This window comes from Homo sapiens, chromosome 9 (genome assembly GCF_000001405.40).
Source record: "Homo sapiens chromosome 9, GRCh38.p14 Primary Assembly".
Lineage (NCBI taxonomy): Eukaryota > Metazoa > Chordata > Mammalia > Primates > Hominidae > Homo > Homo sapiens.
In genome coordinates this window covers 24,096,853-24,116,294 of record NC_000009.12, presented here as the reverse complement: position 1 = coordinate 24,116,294, position 19,442 = coordinate 24,096,853, and the positions used below count along the sequence as shown (strand labels likewise).

Genomic DNA, 19,442 nt, shown 5'->3' with positions numbered 1-19,442 from the left:
TTGAAGACTAGGATTTAGTTAGATTTGAATATTTTTTCATATACATGTTATTGAGATTTCACATACCTATACATACATTAAATTGACAGTTAAAATACAGTTTTTCATCACTGAATTGTTCTAGTTTTTAACAGTTCATAGGACAAGGCTTCCATCCATTACTTTTTTTGTCAATATTTTCTTAGCTCTTCTTGCTTTTTCTCTCTTCTAGGTGAATTTTAATAAGATTTCCTCAAGTTCCAGATAATCATATAATCTTGTGCAGAATTGCATCAAGCCCATAAGTTAATTTGTGAAGAATTGACATCTTGACCTTATATAGTAATCCACGATGATTATATTAATAATGATGATCTGGGACAATCTGCTGTTGTCTATGCTTATTCTTAGTTTATAGAAATATCTAGATATTACAAAATATTAGCATGAGTAATCTATCCATTTGATCATTGCTCAGTCAAAAACAAAGAAAAAATTATACTTTGTCAAAATTATTAATTATTAATTTTATATTCCTACCTCAAAAAACCATACCAGATATGCAATGGTGTCAAAATGTAATACAGTTCACTAGCTGGACAAAGACATCCTTATACAAAATTCAACAGAAGCAAGAACTTTCTGCTTTGCATTCTTTTCATGAAAGAGTGACTATCTTTTAGTACTCCACTCCCTAATCTAATAAAGGTCATCTACTTGCTCAATACCAGAATATAAAATATTTAAAGTTATGGATACAATAGTGTTTTAATTCAGAGAAATTATGAAAGAAAAGAATAAGCTTTGGACACAGAGAGGGGAACAACACACACTGGGGGCCTGTCCGGGGATGGGGGTCAAGTGGAGGGAGAGGTTTAGGACAAATATCTAATGCATGTGGGGCTTAAAACCTAGATGATGGCTGGGCACGGTGGCTCATGCCTGTAATCCCAGCACTTTGGGAGGCCGAGGCAGGTGGATCACCTGAGGTCAGAAGTTCAAGACCAGCCTGATTAACATGGTGAAACCCCGTCTCTACTAAATATATAAAACTTAGCTTGGCGTGGTTGCAGGTGCCTGTAATCCCAGCTACTCGGGAGGCTGAGGCAGGAGAATCGCGTGAACCCAGGAGGCAGAGGTTGCAGTGAGTCGAGATCACACCATTGCACTCCAGCCTGGACAACAAGAGTGAAATGTCGTCTCAAAAAAAAAAAAAAAAAAAAAAAACCTAGATGACAGTTTGATAGGTGCAGCAAACAACCGTGGCACATGTATACCTATGTAACAAACCTGCACGTTCTGCACATGTATCCCGGAACTTAAAATAAAATAAAATAAAACAAAGCAAAAAAAAAAATAAGCCATCCAGTGATATTAAGCAAAACCAGATAACAATAACAATTGTCTGCACTGCTGTAGTATCTTCCTGATTTTGAATCTATGCAAAGTGAGAAAGTGTAGCATATTGGTTTGTAAGTACCTTCACAGCAGAGATCTTCTCTTTATTTACCTCTTCTCTTTGCTTACATCTAGCACATGGCCAACAGTCAGAACTGGGGAATTTTTCAAAATAGGCTAGCTATAATTTTTAGGTCCTAAGTGGTATTTTTCTGAATATTCAAAGTGAAAAATATTGTAGTCCATAGCTTAATTTTTGATCAGTATACATATTCTACCGTAAGAATCTCTTTAAGGTCAGAATCTGTATCTTATTTATCTTTTTACCATCAACATGTAACACTGACCAAGCTTGCACACATTAAATTAAAATAGTGAGAACAATGGCATCATCTCTGAGAATGAAAGTAATAAGTAAATGTGTGTGTGTCTGTGTGTGTGTGTTTTATTGTATCCCAATACAGAGATACACATGACCAGTGTGATATCATGCTTTGGAAAGTGTGAAAATAATTGGCTTGGAATTAACAAAGTTACTGGCATTTTAAAAGGCCATGTGCTAGAGAAAAAGCGCAAAACTTTTACTAAGTTGTAGGATAAGCCCTTAATAATTATATCTACGCAAATTATCACATAGCTGTAGAAGCCAGAAGTTTTCTAAAACTAGTTGAGAAGCACTAGTTGACCTTTCCTATCTTCCTTAGAAGTGTGCCTTTATTAGCGTGTCCTTCAAAAACTGCAAACTGCACAGAGACAGGAAAACAGTGTTCTCCCAAGGAGTTAGAAAGGAAAGTAAATCACAGATGAGTCTAGCCTCTGACAGACTCACATAGGCCTTGTCCCTTGGAAACCTCTTCATTTTCTGCAGTCAACTCTAGAAAGCAGACAAAGAAAAAGATATTTGTAATTTTGACCTACACTTAAAAAATATGCTTAACAAACAGAAAGATGCTACAGTTCAGAGGAACATAAAAGTGTTAGCTTTGTAATCACCATACCAGAGGCACACGAGATTGCAAAAATGCCAATTTTGTCCATGAGAAACATGTGCAAGACCTTGCTGCAAGCCACCATCTGTATGTTCCTTACTGCAGCCTTTTCATGCTAAACCAATGGTTTGTGTTTGTAACAGTGTTTGGTATGGAAAGTAAAATAGCAAGACAAAAGAAACATGAAGGATGTCTGTTCCATGATGGAGCATCTCTCAGCTTTAGTCATGATTATATGTTAGCTAGCCATGTACAAGCTTTTCACAAAATTAATTATGCCAACAGGCACTGAAGTAGCCATGCTTTTCCATACAGACTAGAATCATTCTTGTGTTTTCGCAATGCCCATCAAGTTCTGCTATAAAATGAGGAAGCCTCTTTCCCGGGAAGCCTCCTTTCTTCATTCATATCACTCACTATCAAATGGAAGAGATGTCATTGTTGATTAAGTGCAGGTATTGAGAGCGATGCTAGGATAGAACCTTCTAGTCCATGGCATGGCAGAGAATGGTGGGAAGAACTATGAAAAGTAAGAATAACCTGCATCTCTCTGAATAAACCGCTTGATATATCTGCATTTACTTCTTTGTTTTCATCAAGGGTGTTTCATAATGTTTTTGTCCTAATCTCCTTAAGAAACAACAGTACTAAAATATTATTTAAGAAATTCATTCTATGTCTCGAATATGCTTAATAAAGTGGGGGAGAGGGAGTTATGTTCAGGAAATGTGACAATGTATAAAAAGATAGTCATAAAGAGTACAGATATATAGAAAAAGAGTCACATCTTCCTCAAGCCATAGTCTCACTTTTTTCCATAAAGCAAAGAGGACACAGGTGAATGAAAACATAGAAAAAAATGTAGTAGCCAGACAACTATCACCTGTCCAAGAGGATTATAGCTCTAAATGTGAAAATAAAAACAACAAAACTCCTGAGAGACCATGCAAGTCAGTATCTTCTAAATGATTTTGAGGTTAAGAAATATTTTCCAAACAAACAACAAAAAGCACTAATCAAAGGAGAAACTAATAAATTAGACTACATTAAAATTAAGAAGTTCCTTTCATTAAAAAAACAAGAGAGTGAAAAGGGAAGCCACAGTATTTGCAACACATATAATCAACAAAGGACTAATATGGAATAAAGTACTTCAAACTACCAATAAGAAAAATCCAGAACTCATTTGCAAAAGGTGGCAAGAGACTGAAAAAGGATTTTACAAAGCAGGATATCCAAATTTCCAACAAATATATTAAAGGGGGTTAAACTGGCTGGGCACAGTACCTCACATCTGTAATCCCAGCACTTTGGGAGGCCCAGGCAAGTGGATCACTTGAGGCCAGGAGTTCGAGACCAGCTTGGCCAAAATAGCAAAACCCCGTCTCTACTAAAAATACAAAAATTAACCAGGCATGGTTGCTCACACCTGTAATCCCAGCTACTCAGGAGGCTGAGGCAGGAGAATCACTTAAACTTGGGAGGTGGAGGTTGCAGTGAGCCGAGATTGCACCACTGCACACCAGCCTTGGTGAAAAAGCAAGACTTCATCTAAAAAAAAAAAAAAAGTGGTGTGATTAAACCTCGTTAGTAGCCGAGGAAAGATAAAGACATACCACTACAAACCCATCAGAATTCAAATAACTGAAAATACTAAGATTTGGCTAGTCTTAGGAACAACAAGCAGTCACACACTATTGACAGAATGGAAAAGTATTTGGGATATCTGCTTTGTATTGTCTCCTCAAGTTAAAGATACCACATCTAGTGACCCAGCAACTTCATACCTAGTATAGACTAAATATGTATACATACTAACCAAAAGACAAGGTCAAGAATATTCATAGAAACATTATTAGTAATAGGTGAAAACTGAAAGCAATTGAAATGTCCATCAACTGTAAAATAAATAAATTGTGGTACATTCGTATAATGAAACACACTACTGCCGTTAATATGAACTACACCCACGTGCAATAACATCCATGAATCTCACAAACATAATTTCGCAAAAGAAGCCAGGCACAAGGGAATACATTTCATATAACTCCATTTACATAAAGCTTTAAAAAGTAGGCAAAACAGTTCTATAGTGTTAGAAATCCAAACAGTGGTTACTTCTGGGGAAAAAGGAGGGTTTAGTGATTAGGCGTGGACATAAATGGCTTCCAGGGTGCTGGCCCCATGTTCTATTTCTTGAGTAAGAAAGTGGTTTCACAAGTGAGTTTATTTTGAGATAGTTAATTCAGTTGAACATTTATTTCTGCACTTTTCTGTGTGTGTTACACTTCAATTGAGAGGTTTTCTCTTTATTAAGCAGCCAGATATAGTCTTTCTTTGGAGAATTAAAAACGAAAAAACAAACAAACAAAAAAAGTTACTAGTATACTCAATTTCTATCAAATGCCAAGCCCTTTATCAAAATAAGCTAATCTTTTTTTAGAAGATTAAGTCCATATGATTGTCCTTTTAAAATTAAGATTGACCCAGTTATTAAGATGAGTAAAGTAAGACATTGAGTGATGTATCCAAAATTTAAAGGTCAATAAATTCCAGGCCTAGGGTACAAGTACTAGGTCCTACTATTACAAGCCCACTACCATTTCTGTCATTACACAAGTGCTTTGAAGTTTAAAGCATAGTTTTGCTTCACATCTTCAATCCACCAAGAAATTGTATGTAACAGGATAGATATGCTAGCCTCATTGTGCTGCCAGGAAATTATCTGTGCTAGAAGGCGTCTGTTGCTGAAATCACCCCTCCTGAAAAGCCTCGGGGCATCTACCATGCCTACAGGCCCCTTCTGAGGGCAGCCATGTTCAAAGGACTCTGGGCTGTGGATAACATGACCCTGTGACCTGGTCTCTGCCATATTACAGTGGTTAAAGGCAAGGGATTTGAAGTTAAACAGAGCTAAGTTTGAGTCCCAGCTCTGCCAGTATTTAGCTTCTCTGAGTCTTTGTTTCCGTATCTTTAAAACAGGGATAAGAATAATAACTGCTTCCCAGGGCTGAGATGAGCAGTAATCTGAATTCTAGACATTGAGTTAAATGACAGATACCGTTCTTGGTAGAGTTTTTGGTTTTTGTCATTGTTCTAATGCACATACACAACAGTGGCCTCTGAGGTAAGCCTGACATGAGATTGCAGTGGCACTCTCTCCTACCTGAAGACCCATCAGTGCAACCACACATTCTCTGTGGCAGAGGTGATAGTGAGATGTGGAGACAGCTAGAAGTCAGTGAGAGTACAAATTGAAAATCCATATTAAGGAGGAAGAGTCCCTAAAGTGATAGGAGCCAAGTAGGCAGAGGCCAAGGTCAATAGAGGACAGTTTGCTGGCAGCATGAGCAAGAAACTGAGAGACTTAGGTAACAGGCAGGGTGCAAAAATAGTGAGCAATGGGCAGTGTTTCTGAAGGAGACATTTTCAGACTCACTGTAATCAGAGCTGCTGGGTGGAAAGTGTAGCTTACTAACGGACAGGGAATGAAGCTGAGGTTCTCTTTGAAGCCTCTTCTGTAGCTACTTAAAGCAACCTCAGCCCTCTTCCCATAACATGACCAAGCTGAGCACATCACTGTTCCCCGTGCCCAAAAGCTCTTTAACATCTGAAATACCCATTAGGAGAGAAAGTTAAAGGGTCTGTCCCAAAACCAAATAAGTAGACAAGAGCTAGATTAAGCCAATGGATAAAGGTTCAAGCTGATTCAAGAAAACACTTAACTTTTACTTAATGAGTGTTATTTGTAATCTTCTTAAACTTGTCCATCACAGACTGATTATTCAGTGAACAAATTATTTCTAAATCTAAAGAATAGTTAATAGAATCTTCTTAGTGATTCACACAGAGAAAACGTCTCAAACTGATCCACTCCACCAGAAACCAAGGCATTGCTTACAAGTCCCCAAATGGAAAACACAACCACAAGAGGAAATAGTCTTCAAACTCTACTCAAAGACAAACCAATTTGAAAAGTGGCAATATGTATCCCACATGCTAAAAGATCTAGACTTAGACCACGAATTTGGCTTCAAGCATAATATGATTACCACATTAATTATTTATGTTTTGTTTATACTAGAAAAACTCATGAAAAATAGAGATAAACAGTTTTATACATAAGGAAAACACCAGAATATCTAGAAGCCATTACTACCACATAAGGTAATGTTTAACTCTTAGGGGCTAAAGTTTTGAATAGATATTTCCTTAGGCTCCTATTTAAGTTAATATTTAAACTATTTGAGTTCCTTTGGCTTTCTTCCTCATCAAATAGAAGTTGAGGACATCTAGTAGGTAGACATCCAGAAAAAGGTGATCTGCAAGGTTATTTGAATAACTGGAGGTTAAATGTATATTGTGTCACTATTTTCAAAGTGAATATTATAAATTCCTTTCTAGGTGTTTTCTTAGATGCATTTTACCATTATGAACACTATTTGACTACTAATAATTTGAAGTTCACATGAAAAAAACTTTATCTGCTATGATTCAAAAAGAAATAGCAACTAGGTTGTAAACAAGGGCCATGTTCATCTTGCTGCATTTAGAATAATGTAGCAGTGCCTATAACAAGTAAACAGTGGACAGCCTTGGTTCTGCTGGATTTAGATTAACCTTTACAAGCAATACAGAATTAGATTATGAAAATAAATTGAAAATGGCATCTCCTTAGACTCACTTTGTACTCTGCATTTTCTTAAGCTTTTATGTCACTGTCAAATATTAGTTCAGGGCTCCATTCATATTTATAACATTTTATCTTTTTTTTTTCCTGAAAAGATAAGCACCAGTCTTCAGAGAAATATTCTGACTACTGGATACAAAAAAAAAATCTTTCTTGAATGGTTAATGTTTCAAATATGAGCACAGATACCAGATGGCAAAAAGGGCAAAAAAGAATTCAAGTTGTTTCATTGTTCAATGATAAGGATTCCTCCATCTGCTGACTCAGTACTAACTTGGTTTGCACTCTCTCAGAGCCAATACAATTAAAATTCTATTTGAAGTGAAAAGTTTCAGAAAAAAATTAGAAACCTCAGAAATCACAGAAATACAAACTACCATCAGAGAATACTACAAACACCTTTACACAAATAAACTAGAAAATCTAGAAGAAATGGATAGATTCCTCGACACATACACTCTCCCAAGACTAAACAAGGAAGAAGTTGAATCTCTGAATAGACCAATAACAGGATCTGAAATTGTGGCAATAATCAATAGCTTACCAACCAAAAAGAGTCCAGGACCAGATGGATTCACAGCCGAATTCTACCAGAGGTACAAGGAGGAACTGGTACCATTCCTTCTGAAACTATTCCAATCAATAGAAAAAGAGGGAATCCTCCCTAACTCATTTTATGAGGCCAGCATCATCCTGATACCAAAGCCGGGCAGAGACACAACCAAAAAAGACAATTTTAGACCAATATCCTTGATGAACATTGATGCAAAAATCCTCAATAAAATACTGGTAAACCAAATCCAGCAGCACATCAAAAAGCTTATCCACCATGATCAAGTGGGCTTCATCCCTGGGATGCAAGGCTGGTTCAATATATGCAAATCAATAAATGTAATCCAGCATAAAAACAGAACCAAAGACAAAAACCACACGATTATCTCAACAGATGCAGAAAAGGCCTTTGACAAAATTCAACAACGCTTCATGCTAAAAACTCTCAATAAATTACGTATTGATGGGATGTATCTCAAAATAATAAGAGCTATCTGTGACAAACCCACAGCCAATATCATACTGAATGGGCAAAAACTGGAAGCATTCCCTTTGAAAACGGGCACAAGACAGGGATGCCCTCTCTCACCACTCCTATTCAACATAGTGTTGGAAGTTCTGGCCAGGGCAATTAGGCAGGAGAAGGAAATAAAGGGTATTCAATTAGGAAAAGAGGAAGTCAAATTGTCCCTGTTTGCAGACGACATGATTGTATATCTAGAAAACCCCATTGTCTCAGCCCAAAATCTCCTTAAGCTGATAACTTCAGCAAAGTCTCAGGATACAAAATCAATGTGCAAAAATCACAAGCATTCTTATACACCAATAACAGACAAACAGAGAGCCAAATCATGAGTGAACTCCCATTCACAATTGCTTCAAAGAGAATAAAATACCTAGGAATCCAACTAACAAGGGATGTGAAGGACCTCTTCAAGGAGAACTACAAACCACTGCTCAATCAAATAAAAGAGGATACAAACAAATGGAAGAACATTCCATGCTCTTGGGTAGGAAGAATCAATATCATGAAAATGGCCATACTGCCCAAGGTAATTTATAGATTCAATGCCATCCCCATCAAGCTACCAATGCCTTTCTTCACAGAATTAGAAAAAACTACTTTAAAGTTCATATGGAACCAAAAAATAGCCCGCATTGCCAAGTCAATCCTAAGCCAAAAGAACAAAGCTGGAGGCATCACGCTACCTGACTTCAAACTATACTACAAGGCTACAGTAACCAAAACAGCATGGTACTGGTGCCAAAACAGAGATATACATCAATGGAACAGAACAGAGCCCTCAGAAATAACGCCACATATCTACAACTATCTGATCTTTGACAAACCTGAGAAAAACAAGCTATGGGGAAAGGACTCCCCATTTAATAAATGGTACTAGGAAAACTGGCTAGCCATATGTAGAAAGCTGAAACTGGATCCCTTCCTTACACCTTATACAAAAATTAATTCAAGATGGATTAAATACTTAAACGTTAGACCTAAAACCATAAAAACCCTAGAAGAAAACCTAGGCATTACCATTCAGGACATAGGCATGGGCAAGGACTTCATGTCTAAAACACCAAAAGCAATGGGAACAAAACCCAAAATTGACAAATGGGATCTAATTAAACTAAAGAGCTTCTGCACAGCAAAAGAAACTACCATCAGAGTGAACAGGCAACCTACAAAATGGGAGAACATTTTCGCAACCTACTCATCTGACAAAGGGCTAATATCCAGAATCTACAAAGAACTCAAACAAATTTACAAGAAAAAAATTAAACAACCACATCAAAAAGTGGGCCAAGGATATGAACAGACACTTCTCAAAAGAAGACATTTATGCAGCCGAAAGACACATGAAAAAATGCTCATCATCACTGGCCATCAGAGAAATGCAAATCAAAACCACAATGAGATACCATCTCACACCAGTTAGAATGGCGATCATTAAAAAGTCAGGAAACAACAGGTGCTGGAGAGGATGTGGAGAAATAGGAACACTTTTACACTGTTGGCAGGACTATAAACTAGTTCAACCATTGTGGAAGTCAGTGTGGCGATTCCTCAGGGATCTAGAACTAGAAATACCATTTGACCCAGCCATCCCATTACTGGGTATATATCCAAACGACTATAAATCATGCTGCTATAAAGACACATGCACACGTATGTTTATTGTGACACTATTCACAATAGCAAAGACTTGGAACCAACCCAAATGTCCAACAATGATAGACTGGATTAAGAAAATGTGGCACATATACACCATGGAATACTATGCAGCCATAAAAAAGGATGATTTCACGTCCTTTGTAGGGACATGGATGAAATTGGAAATCATCATTCTCAGTAAACTATCGCAAGGACAAAAAACCAAACACCGCATGTTCTCACTCATAGATGGGAATTGAACAATGAGAACACATGGACACAGGAAGGGGACCATCACACTCTGGGGACTGTTGTGGTGTGGGGGGACGGGGGAGGGATAGCATTAGGAGAGATACCTAATGCTAAATGACGAGTTAATGGGTGCAGCACACCAGCATGGCACATGTATACATATGTAACTAACCGGCACATTGTGCACATGTACCCTAAAATTTAAAGTATAATAAAAAAAAAAAAGAAACCTGAGAAATCTTTTCATAGGTTATACCCATCCCTTAAATAGCTAAGGTTTTATGTGTACAAATCCAAGTGCATGACAACATTAAGATAGAAAATACCTTTTGAAAAATTCTAAAGACACATTTATTTAAGTAATAATGAAGACTATTTTATGTGATTAAAATATAAGTGAACATCCGCAAGAAGTTAGAGTCATGGTGAAATAAAATGTATCTAAAGTAATGATATACTGGGGTAACCATCACAAAGGGTGAAATGGGAGACTACTGGTAAGTGAATAATATGGCAGCCATTGACAAAGGAAAAAGTTTAAATGGCTGATACACTGAGATCAAATGGCAAGTAATGAGGAGAATGGAAGAGCAATGACTAGCAACCACAGCTTAGAGGACAGCAGAAGGCTTATACACTAAATTAGGCCTAAAGAGGAGAAGTAGCTAGAAACAAATAGAATTCATGAGAACAAGACTCAAGTAAGAATCATGAACAAGAGAGTCCTAGGATCCCTCCAAGCAAGTTGACGCCTAATACAACACTTTCCCCATGATACTTTCACAGAAAGAGTTCCTACTCAAAATAAAATATGCATAATATTAAAAAGGAATTTTCCACGGTTACCTTCCCTTTTTTTTTTTTTTTTTTTGAAAACACTACCCAGTTTAGGGCATCTCTTTAATATTTAAAAGTTCCTCAAAAGATCATAACTTCTGTATTCCTGATGCCTACTACCTAGTATATGATTAATGTTCTACAAATATTTCTGGGTTTTTTCCCCAGCTTTATTGAAGTATAACTGGCAAATTAAAATTATTTCTGTCTATATATATGTAAGGTATATATGATGTTTTGATAGACATATGTAATTTGTGATATGCATTACCACAATCAAGCTAAAGAACATATCCGTCACCTCGCATAATTACTGGTTTTTGTTTGTTTTTTTTTTTTTTTTTTTTTTTTTTTTGTGTGTGTGTGTGTGTGTGTGTGTGTGTGTGTTGAGAACATTGAAGATCTACTCTCTTAACAGGTAAAAGATAAAGGCGGCCAGGCGTGGTGGCTCACACCTGTAATCCCAGCACTTTGGGAGGCCGAGGTGGGTGGATCACCTGAGGTCAGGAGTTTGAGACCAACCTGGCCAACATGGTGAAACCCCATCTCTACCAGAATACAAAAATTAACCAGGCATGGTGGCGGGCACCTGAAATCCAAGCTACTCAGGAGGCTGAGGCACGAGAATCACTTGAACCCCGGGGGCAGAGGTTGCAGTGAGCCAAGATCACACCACTGCACTCCAGCCTTGATGACAGAGTGAGACTCTGTCTCAGAAAAAAAAAAAAAAAAGATAAAGACAAGGTAAAGCGATAAAGGGTTATTTACTGGGTACTTTTTAGGTGGTCAGGAAAGTGGAAAGTTGACTGTAAAAGCTGAAATATGATGGAAGGCAAGCAGCAAGTCACTATATGTGGACAAACATCTCACAGGGTCCAGCAAGGGAAGAGGCTCTGAGGCTAACACGTGAAGATACTCTTCAGGAGTCTTTTGATTAGGAAAAAATAGAAAGATTTTAAATAAGATGAATGTTTAATGTCTATTCATTATTCTTCATCAACAGGAAAAATATACACACTTATATATTCATACTTTAATAAAAAGAGTGTCTGTCTCAAAATAAACCAAAGTAAAATAGGAGTTCTCTCTTTCCCTCTCTCTCTCTCAATCTCCCTCCCTCTCTCCCCCTCTGACAGACATTTTGATTTTCAGTCTGGATGATCTGTTAATTGTTGAATGTGTGTGTGTGTATACATATATATATAGAGAGAGAGAGAGAGAAAGATACACACACACATATATAATGTAGGTTAATCACATTTGTTTTTTGATAGAGGTTTACCTCCCATGCTTGGGATCTATAACATATGCCTTAACAACATTATTTCTAGTCAAGTAAAATAAGTTTCTGATACATTTCATATATTAGATTATATTCCAACAATGCAACAAAGTAATATTATCTTCATTCATAGATGAGAAAAACTGAAACTCAGAGGAAATGTGTTACTTGCTTAAGATCACATGATGGGAAATGATAGAATTCAGGTCTGAACCTGGGTGTCTTGACCCAAAATCTTAGGCTTTTCCCCATTGACACACTTAATACTAAAATGGTGCTATCTTTGATGTTTAGGGTATTTCCACCCAAAATTATTTTCTATATTTAAATAAATCAATTAATATTATTAAAATAATTTTATATATTTAAAATATATAGGTTTTTAATGTTCTTTTGATTTTATCTTTGACCCATTGATTGTTCAGGAATGTATTATTTAATTTACAAATATTTGTGAATTTTTCCATTTTCCTACCACTGTTGATTTTAAATTGCACACTGTTGTGGTCAGAAAAGATATTTGATAGGATTTCAATCTTCTTAAATTTATTAAGACTTGGTTCATAGCCTCACATGTGATCTGTCCTGGAAAATGATCTGTGTGCACTTGAAAAAAAATGTGTATTCTGCTGCTATTGGTTGGTATGTTCTATAAATACTTGTTAGGTCCATTTGGTCTATAGTGTTGTTCAAGTCTGTTGTTTCCTTACTGATTTTCAGTCTAGGCAACCTGTACACTGTTGAAAGTAGTACATTAAAGTCCCCTACTATTATTTTATTGTCTATCTCTCCCTTCAGATCTATTAATATTTGTTTTATATATTTAGGTGCTCTGATGTTGGGTGAATATTATTTATAATTGCTATATCCTATTGTTTAATTGACCCTTTTATTTTTAAATAATAACCTTCTTTGTTTATTTTGACAGTTTTGACTTACAGTCCATTTTGTTCAACATAAGTATAGCCACTCCTGCTCTTTTTTGGTTACTATTTGCCTAGAATATCTTTTCTCATCTCTTCACTTTAATTCTGTATGTGTTTCTAAAGTAAAACTGACTCCATTCTAGGCAGTATAGAATTACATCAAGGTTTATTTTTTTTAAGCTGTTCAACCACTTTATGTCATTTACTGGAAAACTTAATGCACTTACGTTTTAAGTGATTATTGATAATAAGGACTTATTATTGCCATTTTATTCATTGTTTCCTTACTGTTTTGTAGTTTCTTTATTCCTTTCTTCCTCTCATAGTCTTCCTTTGTAACTTGATGATTTTTTGGTAGTGGTATGCTTTGATTCCTTTTTCTTTATCTTTTCTGGACCTGTAACAGGTAATTTTCTCTGTGGTTACCACAGGGCTTACATAAAATATCTTTTTCAGTTATAATAGTCTATTTAATCTAACAACTTAACTTCAATTACATACAAAAATTCTACACTTTTACTTTTCCTCTCCTCACTTTTTATGTTATTAAGATCACAGGTTATCTTTTTTATATTGTGCTTTCTTTAACAAATTGTTATGGCTAAAGTTATTTTTGATAATTTTGTATCTTAACTCTTATGCTAGTGTTAAAGGTAATTTATATGCCACCATAATAGTACTAGGGTCTTCTGACCCTAGTACTATTGATAGTACTAGAGTCTGACCCTTTGATGATATTCTTACCTTTACAGTGATTTCTATACTTTCATATGTTTTTATGTTCTTAGCTAGTGTACTGTTTTTCAATTGAAGGAACTCCCTTTACCGTTTCTTGTAAGGCTCATCTAGTGACGATGAACTCCCTTAGCTTTCGTTTGTCTGGGAAGATCTTTATAATTCCCACATTTCTGAAGGATAACTTTGCCACGTATAATATTCTTGATTGAAAGGTTTTTTGTTGTTTTCTTTCCAACACTGTGTATATTATGTCCCACTCCCCCTTGGTCTGCGAGGTTTCTGCAAAAAAAAAGTCTGCTGATAGTCTTATAAGGGAAGGTAGTTTCCCTTGTATGTGATAAAAGGCTTTTCTCTTGCTGCTTTCAAAATTCTCTTTGACTTCTTTTTTTATTTTATTGAATATTGATAAATTACAATTGTAGGTATTTATGGGCTCCAATGTGATGCTATGATATATGTATGGAATGTGGAATGATTAAATCAAGTTAATTAACATATTCAACACCTTAAATATTTATCATTTATTCATACTGTCTAACTGAAACATTATGCCTTTTGACCAATATCTCCCCAGTCCCCCTTCCTCGGCCTCTGAAAACCACAATTCTGCTTCTTCCATTAGTCTGGTTGTTTTAGATTTCATATAGAAGTGAGAATATATGGTATTTGTTTTTCTGTGCCCAGCTTGTTTCACTTAGATGAATGCCCTCCAGGTTTATCCATGTTGCTGCAAACATACATACAAATGGCCAACAGATATATGAAAATATGTTCAACATCACTAATCATTAGAGTAGTGCAAATTAAAATCAGAATTAGATATCACTGCATACCTTGTAGAACGACTATTATAAAAGAGATGAAAGATAACCAGTGTTTGCAAAGATAGGCAGAAAAAGGAATCCCTTGTATATTGTTGGTGGAAATGTAAATTAGTACAGCCATTATGGAAAACTGTATGAAGGCTTCTCAAAAACTAAAAATAGAATTACCATATGATCCAGCAATCCCACTTCTGGGATTTCCAAAGGATCTGAAATCAGTATGTCAAAGAAGTATCTGCACTCTCAGATTGCAGATATCTCATATTACAGCAGTATTCACAACTGTCAAGTTATGGAATCAATGTAAATGCCCATCAACAAATAAAGAAAATGTGGTATATATATATATATATATATATGTGTGTGTACACACACAATAGAAACTATTCTGCCTTGTAAAAAATAGAGATTCTGTCTTTAATTTAATAATTTGATTATAATGTGTTTAAGTGAATATCTTTTTACGTCTAATCTAAATATACGTTTATGTTCCATGTTTACTTTTGGGCTTCATGGATCTGGATGTTCATTTTCCTCTCCAGCTTTGGAAAGTTTTCTATCATTATTTCCTTAAATAAGCTTTCCTCTCTTTCATCCTTGTCTTCTCCTTCTGAAAATTTCATAATGTATATGTTTGCTTAATGGTGCCCCATAGTCCCATTGTCTTTCTTGTTTTAAAATTGTTCCTCTGACTAGATATTCTCAAATGACCTATCTTTAAGCTCACCAATTCTTTCTTCTGCTTGATCAAGTCTGCTGTTTAGGCTCTCTGTAGAAATTTGCAGTTCAATTATGTGTTCTTCAACCCTAGTATTTCTGTTTGGTTCTTTTCTATGGTTTCTATTTTTCTATTGAACTTCCCATTTTGTTCATATATTTTTAATCTGATTTTTGTTTAGTTGCCTATCTGTGTTCTCTTGTAGTTCACTGAGCTTCTCCAAGATAATCATTTTGAATTCTTTATCTAGCAGTTCATATACTTCTATTTATTTAGGGTCAGTTACTGGCAATTTATTTTGTGCCTTTGGTGGTGTCATGTTTCCCTGATTATTCATGATCGTTTTGGCCTTGTGTTGGTGTCTATGCAGTTAAAGAAATAGGCACTGTTTCTAGTCTTTACAGACTGGCTTTAAAAGGAAAAACACTTCACCAGTTGGCTCAACCAGAAATTCTGGGCAGCTCCGCTCTGAGGTTCCATAGACAGGCTGGCTACTGAAGTCACCAGAACAGCTGGCTTGATGCTTCAGTCAGAGGGCAGACAGGTGTGGCACCTGGGTTTGTGACATTTGGCCTGGAATCTGGGATGACAGAGCCTGGTCTGGCACTGGGGCAGGGCTGGCGCTTAGATTTGCAGGAGCCAGCCTGAAGCCTAGGTCCATGGGTACTGGTCCAGTGCCTGGAGCCATGGTAGCTATCATACAGCATGAGTCCATAGGGGCAGGCCTGAAGACTGAGGCTTTGAGAGCCAGCTTAGCACTGGGACAAGCCTAAAACCTGGGTCTGTGGGGGCAAGTCTGGTGCTGAGGTTCACTGGGGCTGACCTGGTGCTGTAGCCTATGATGAAGTCTTGTGCTTATGTAACTGTTTTCCCAACCTGAAGATTATCTCTCTCTCTCTCTCTCTCTCTCTCTCTCTCTATATATATATATATATTATATATATAAAATATATATATAATATATATGTATATATATAAAATATATATTATATATAAAATATATATATATTATATATAAAATATATATATTATATATAAAATATATATATATTATATATAAAATATATATATATTATATATAAAATATATATATACTGTGCTGTGTGGGCTTGGGAGAGAAGTGATGCAAGCAATATGCAACAATCCTTTCTACCTTCTTCAAAGTGCCTTTTCTTATTTCTGTGTTCCACCCAGGTACTGTAATTCTCACTTTGATTCCTTAGCTCTTGCAAAGGTATTTGTGCATGAATGGTTATTAAAATTGATGTTTCTGTGAATGAGCAAGCACTGGAGACTCCTATCGCACCATTTTCAATGAGTGTCTTCTTCAGTCAATATTTCTCTGTTATTATATATTTCCTTCAATCAGGATAAGCTTATTAAGATCAAAAAATTATTTCTTTATCCTTTTTTGTGAACAGTTTACAATAGTGTCAAACCTCAATTTTCTCCATAATAAGTGATGACAAATATGATGAATGAAAGACAATATTTCCTCCAAGTATATAGCAGTTATCTCTGTTTCCTTCTTTGCTTCTTTACTACTAGTACAATGGTCTCCAAAGAGAGAAGTATGTGGCCTAGAGGTTGGCAAGGTGAACCATCAAAGCCCAGGAAGAAAATATTAGAATTTCTATTTCTATTTATTTTTTCATCTAATCCCTTCGAACATCTAAATTTTGCACATGCTTACATTATATATTAACCCATTAATATGCAAATACAATTTATAAATAAATAAGTATATTTGCCCTGTGAAGAACTGAGGACACAATTTAGAAAGTTTGGAAACCATTGTACTAAACAGCTAACATACTAAATCCTTGCCACAAAATAAGAATGAAAAAATCATTTACCAAATTTACCATGTTACTATACTTTTTAAGTTCTAATTACTTTTTACATATTAAATTATAATGTGTTAAATAATATGGTTTGAAGTGCCAAGTGCCACTTAGACACAAAGCACTCAATCAATAAATGCTGTAAGCCAACAATATTTTTTTAAATAAATGAATGAACATTCTACCAAGACTGGAAAACACTGTGGTAAACTGAGCTCTCAATAACTTGGTATGTTGAGGAGCTCCATGGAAAAAGGGATCCAAGTTCAATTACTTATTTTGTAAATGCTGCATACTATATTACACTCTTTCAGATTCACAGTAAAGATGAGTATGCTAAAGGCTCTGGGAAATCCTGCAAGTTACAGGTAACTTTAACTTTGTTTATTCCAACATTTCCCATTTCCACATTGTTTTGTTTTGTTTGTTTGTTTGTTTGTTTGTTTTTGTCCGCAGCACTTCTTCCCCATTCATAATGTCCACTAACTACTTACAGGGAACAGTGTTCCTAAGAATGCACTTGGTGAAATTCTGTTTTAATGAGATTTCATCTAAAAACTGAAGGCTCAGCTGAACATAGAAGCATTCTTATTGGTTGCATATGAAGCTAAGGGATAACTGAAGCCATTGTACATAGATTTCTGTATTATGCAATGTCATTAGCAATGACCTAGATTGTGGGTATAGCAAGGATGCACCTTAAGCTTCCTACTGAAATCTAAGTCTGAACTTTACAAACATGTTATTTCGTTGGGTATATTTTTATCTCAGATATTTAGCTAATTTATGTATACAGAGACTACCTGATTTGAAGGGAGGAATTATCATTTTTATAAAAAGGGGACAAGAAAAGAGGAAAAGGCCTATTTAACTAAAGTCTTTGCTTTGTGTCAAGCTTCATGCTAAAAATTTTAACTTTTTAAAATATTTAAATCTCCCAGCAATTGTATTGGCTATATATTTTGTTCCCTCTTACCAAGGAGGAAGCTGAGATTCAGAGAAGCATAAACTCATAATTACAAGAGCCTAAAGTGATAATGCAGGTTATCATCCAAATTAGGATACTTTTGAGAATGTCCCATAATTATTCTGGGACTTTTTTAGCTTAAATTGCTCTATTCCAACCTTTCTTAAAGAGACATGGTTTGAACTCGGGTCTCCCAAACATCTCCTCATTTCATTATAGCTTGTTGCTTGAGATATGAATGGAATTTAAGATGTCAAGAGAAATCACCCATCAATGATAAGAAAAAACTTTACAAGACTGCTTTTAAAATGTTTTTAACTGCAAAATAGAAAAGAAAAAAGAATGGTCAAAACATAAATTGTATCTTTCACCAATGCAGAGCTGCCTTTAAAAAATTCTAACATAATACTAGGTATATCCTAACAGATGTATGATAAGAAATGGCTGGGAATAATCCTTTATCTTAGATCTAACATCACCCAGAATCTTTTTAAAATATTATATTGCTTGGTGCTTATTTTACCACTTACAAGGAATATATCAAGAAACTAGGAGAAAAATCCAGAAAATAGCAACTGAAATGGTTTAAAGCATTGTAACATAGAAGTTATGAAAAAAATGAGATAGGATTATTTAGTCCAAAATGAAAAGTCAAAGGAGTAACTTTAAAATTGCCTTCAAGTGAATTAAAAATTGCCAAAAGAGGTCTTCATGTCCCTAAGGATAAAACAAGAGTCTAAGATTTAATTACACACTGTGAGATTCAGCGTGTGGAATTAAGTCTTGTTGATAAAAACTATTCAATAACACAACAAGTAACAAGGGGGCATCCCCCAGACTCTTTTACATAAAAGAACAAGTCACCCGCAAACATACCTTGACAATTGCTTTTCTTGAAGGCAGAGAAATAGAAATATTAATCACCTCTTGTCATACAAGTCCTATGATTCATTGCTCTGATTTTCCTGTTCTTAATATTTATGCCTGATATAAATAATTGATCATTCAACATTCCCCACTAATAAAGTTCAAACTTCTTATGATGTCACAGAAATGTTTTATCATATCTCTGTCTACTCTACCAGCATAATAACTTTTCACTCCCTCAGCATATCATGCCTTCTGTCATACTAGAGAAAAAAAACCGCAAGGAGCACTCCAAAACCACAATGTCCTAACAGTTCTTTGTCTTTACACATGCTATTTCCTCTGAACAGGATGCACTTCTTTCCTCCTGACCACTCAGTCCATCCTCCCACCTCTTCCCAAGCCCTCAATTCATTCT

The 19,442-nt window shown here is 35.6% G+C and overlaps 1 long non-coding RNA gene across 2 annotated transcripts in view; it reads right to left on the bottom strand.

Moving 5' to 3' along the window:
* Positions 1-19,442, bottom strand: part of LOC124902327 (uncharacterized) — a 100,784-nt gene that overhangs the window by 30,704 nt on the left and 50,638 nt on the right. Inside the window, exon 1 of one of the 2 annotated variants that reach the window (XR_007061898.1) lies at positions 2,207-2,241. The exons of the other annotated variant lie outside the window; for it this stretch is intronic. This is a non-coding gene — a long non-coding RNA (uncharacterized LOC124902327). Of the gene's footprint in view, positions 1-2,206; positions 2,242-19,442 lie in introns of those variants that run through there. 2 annotated transcript variants of the gene reach the window in all.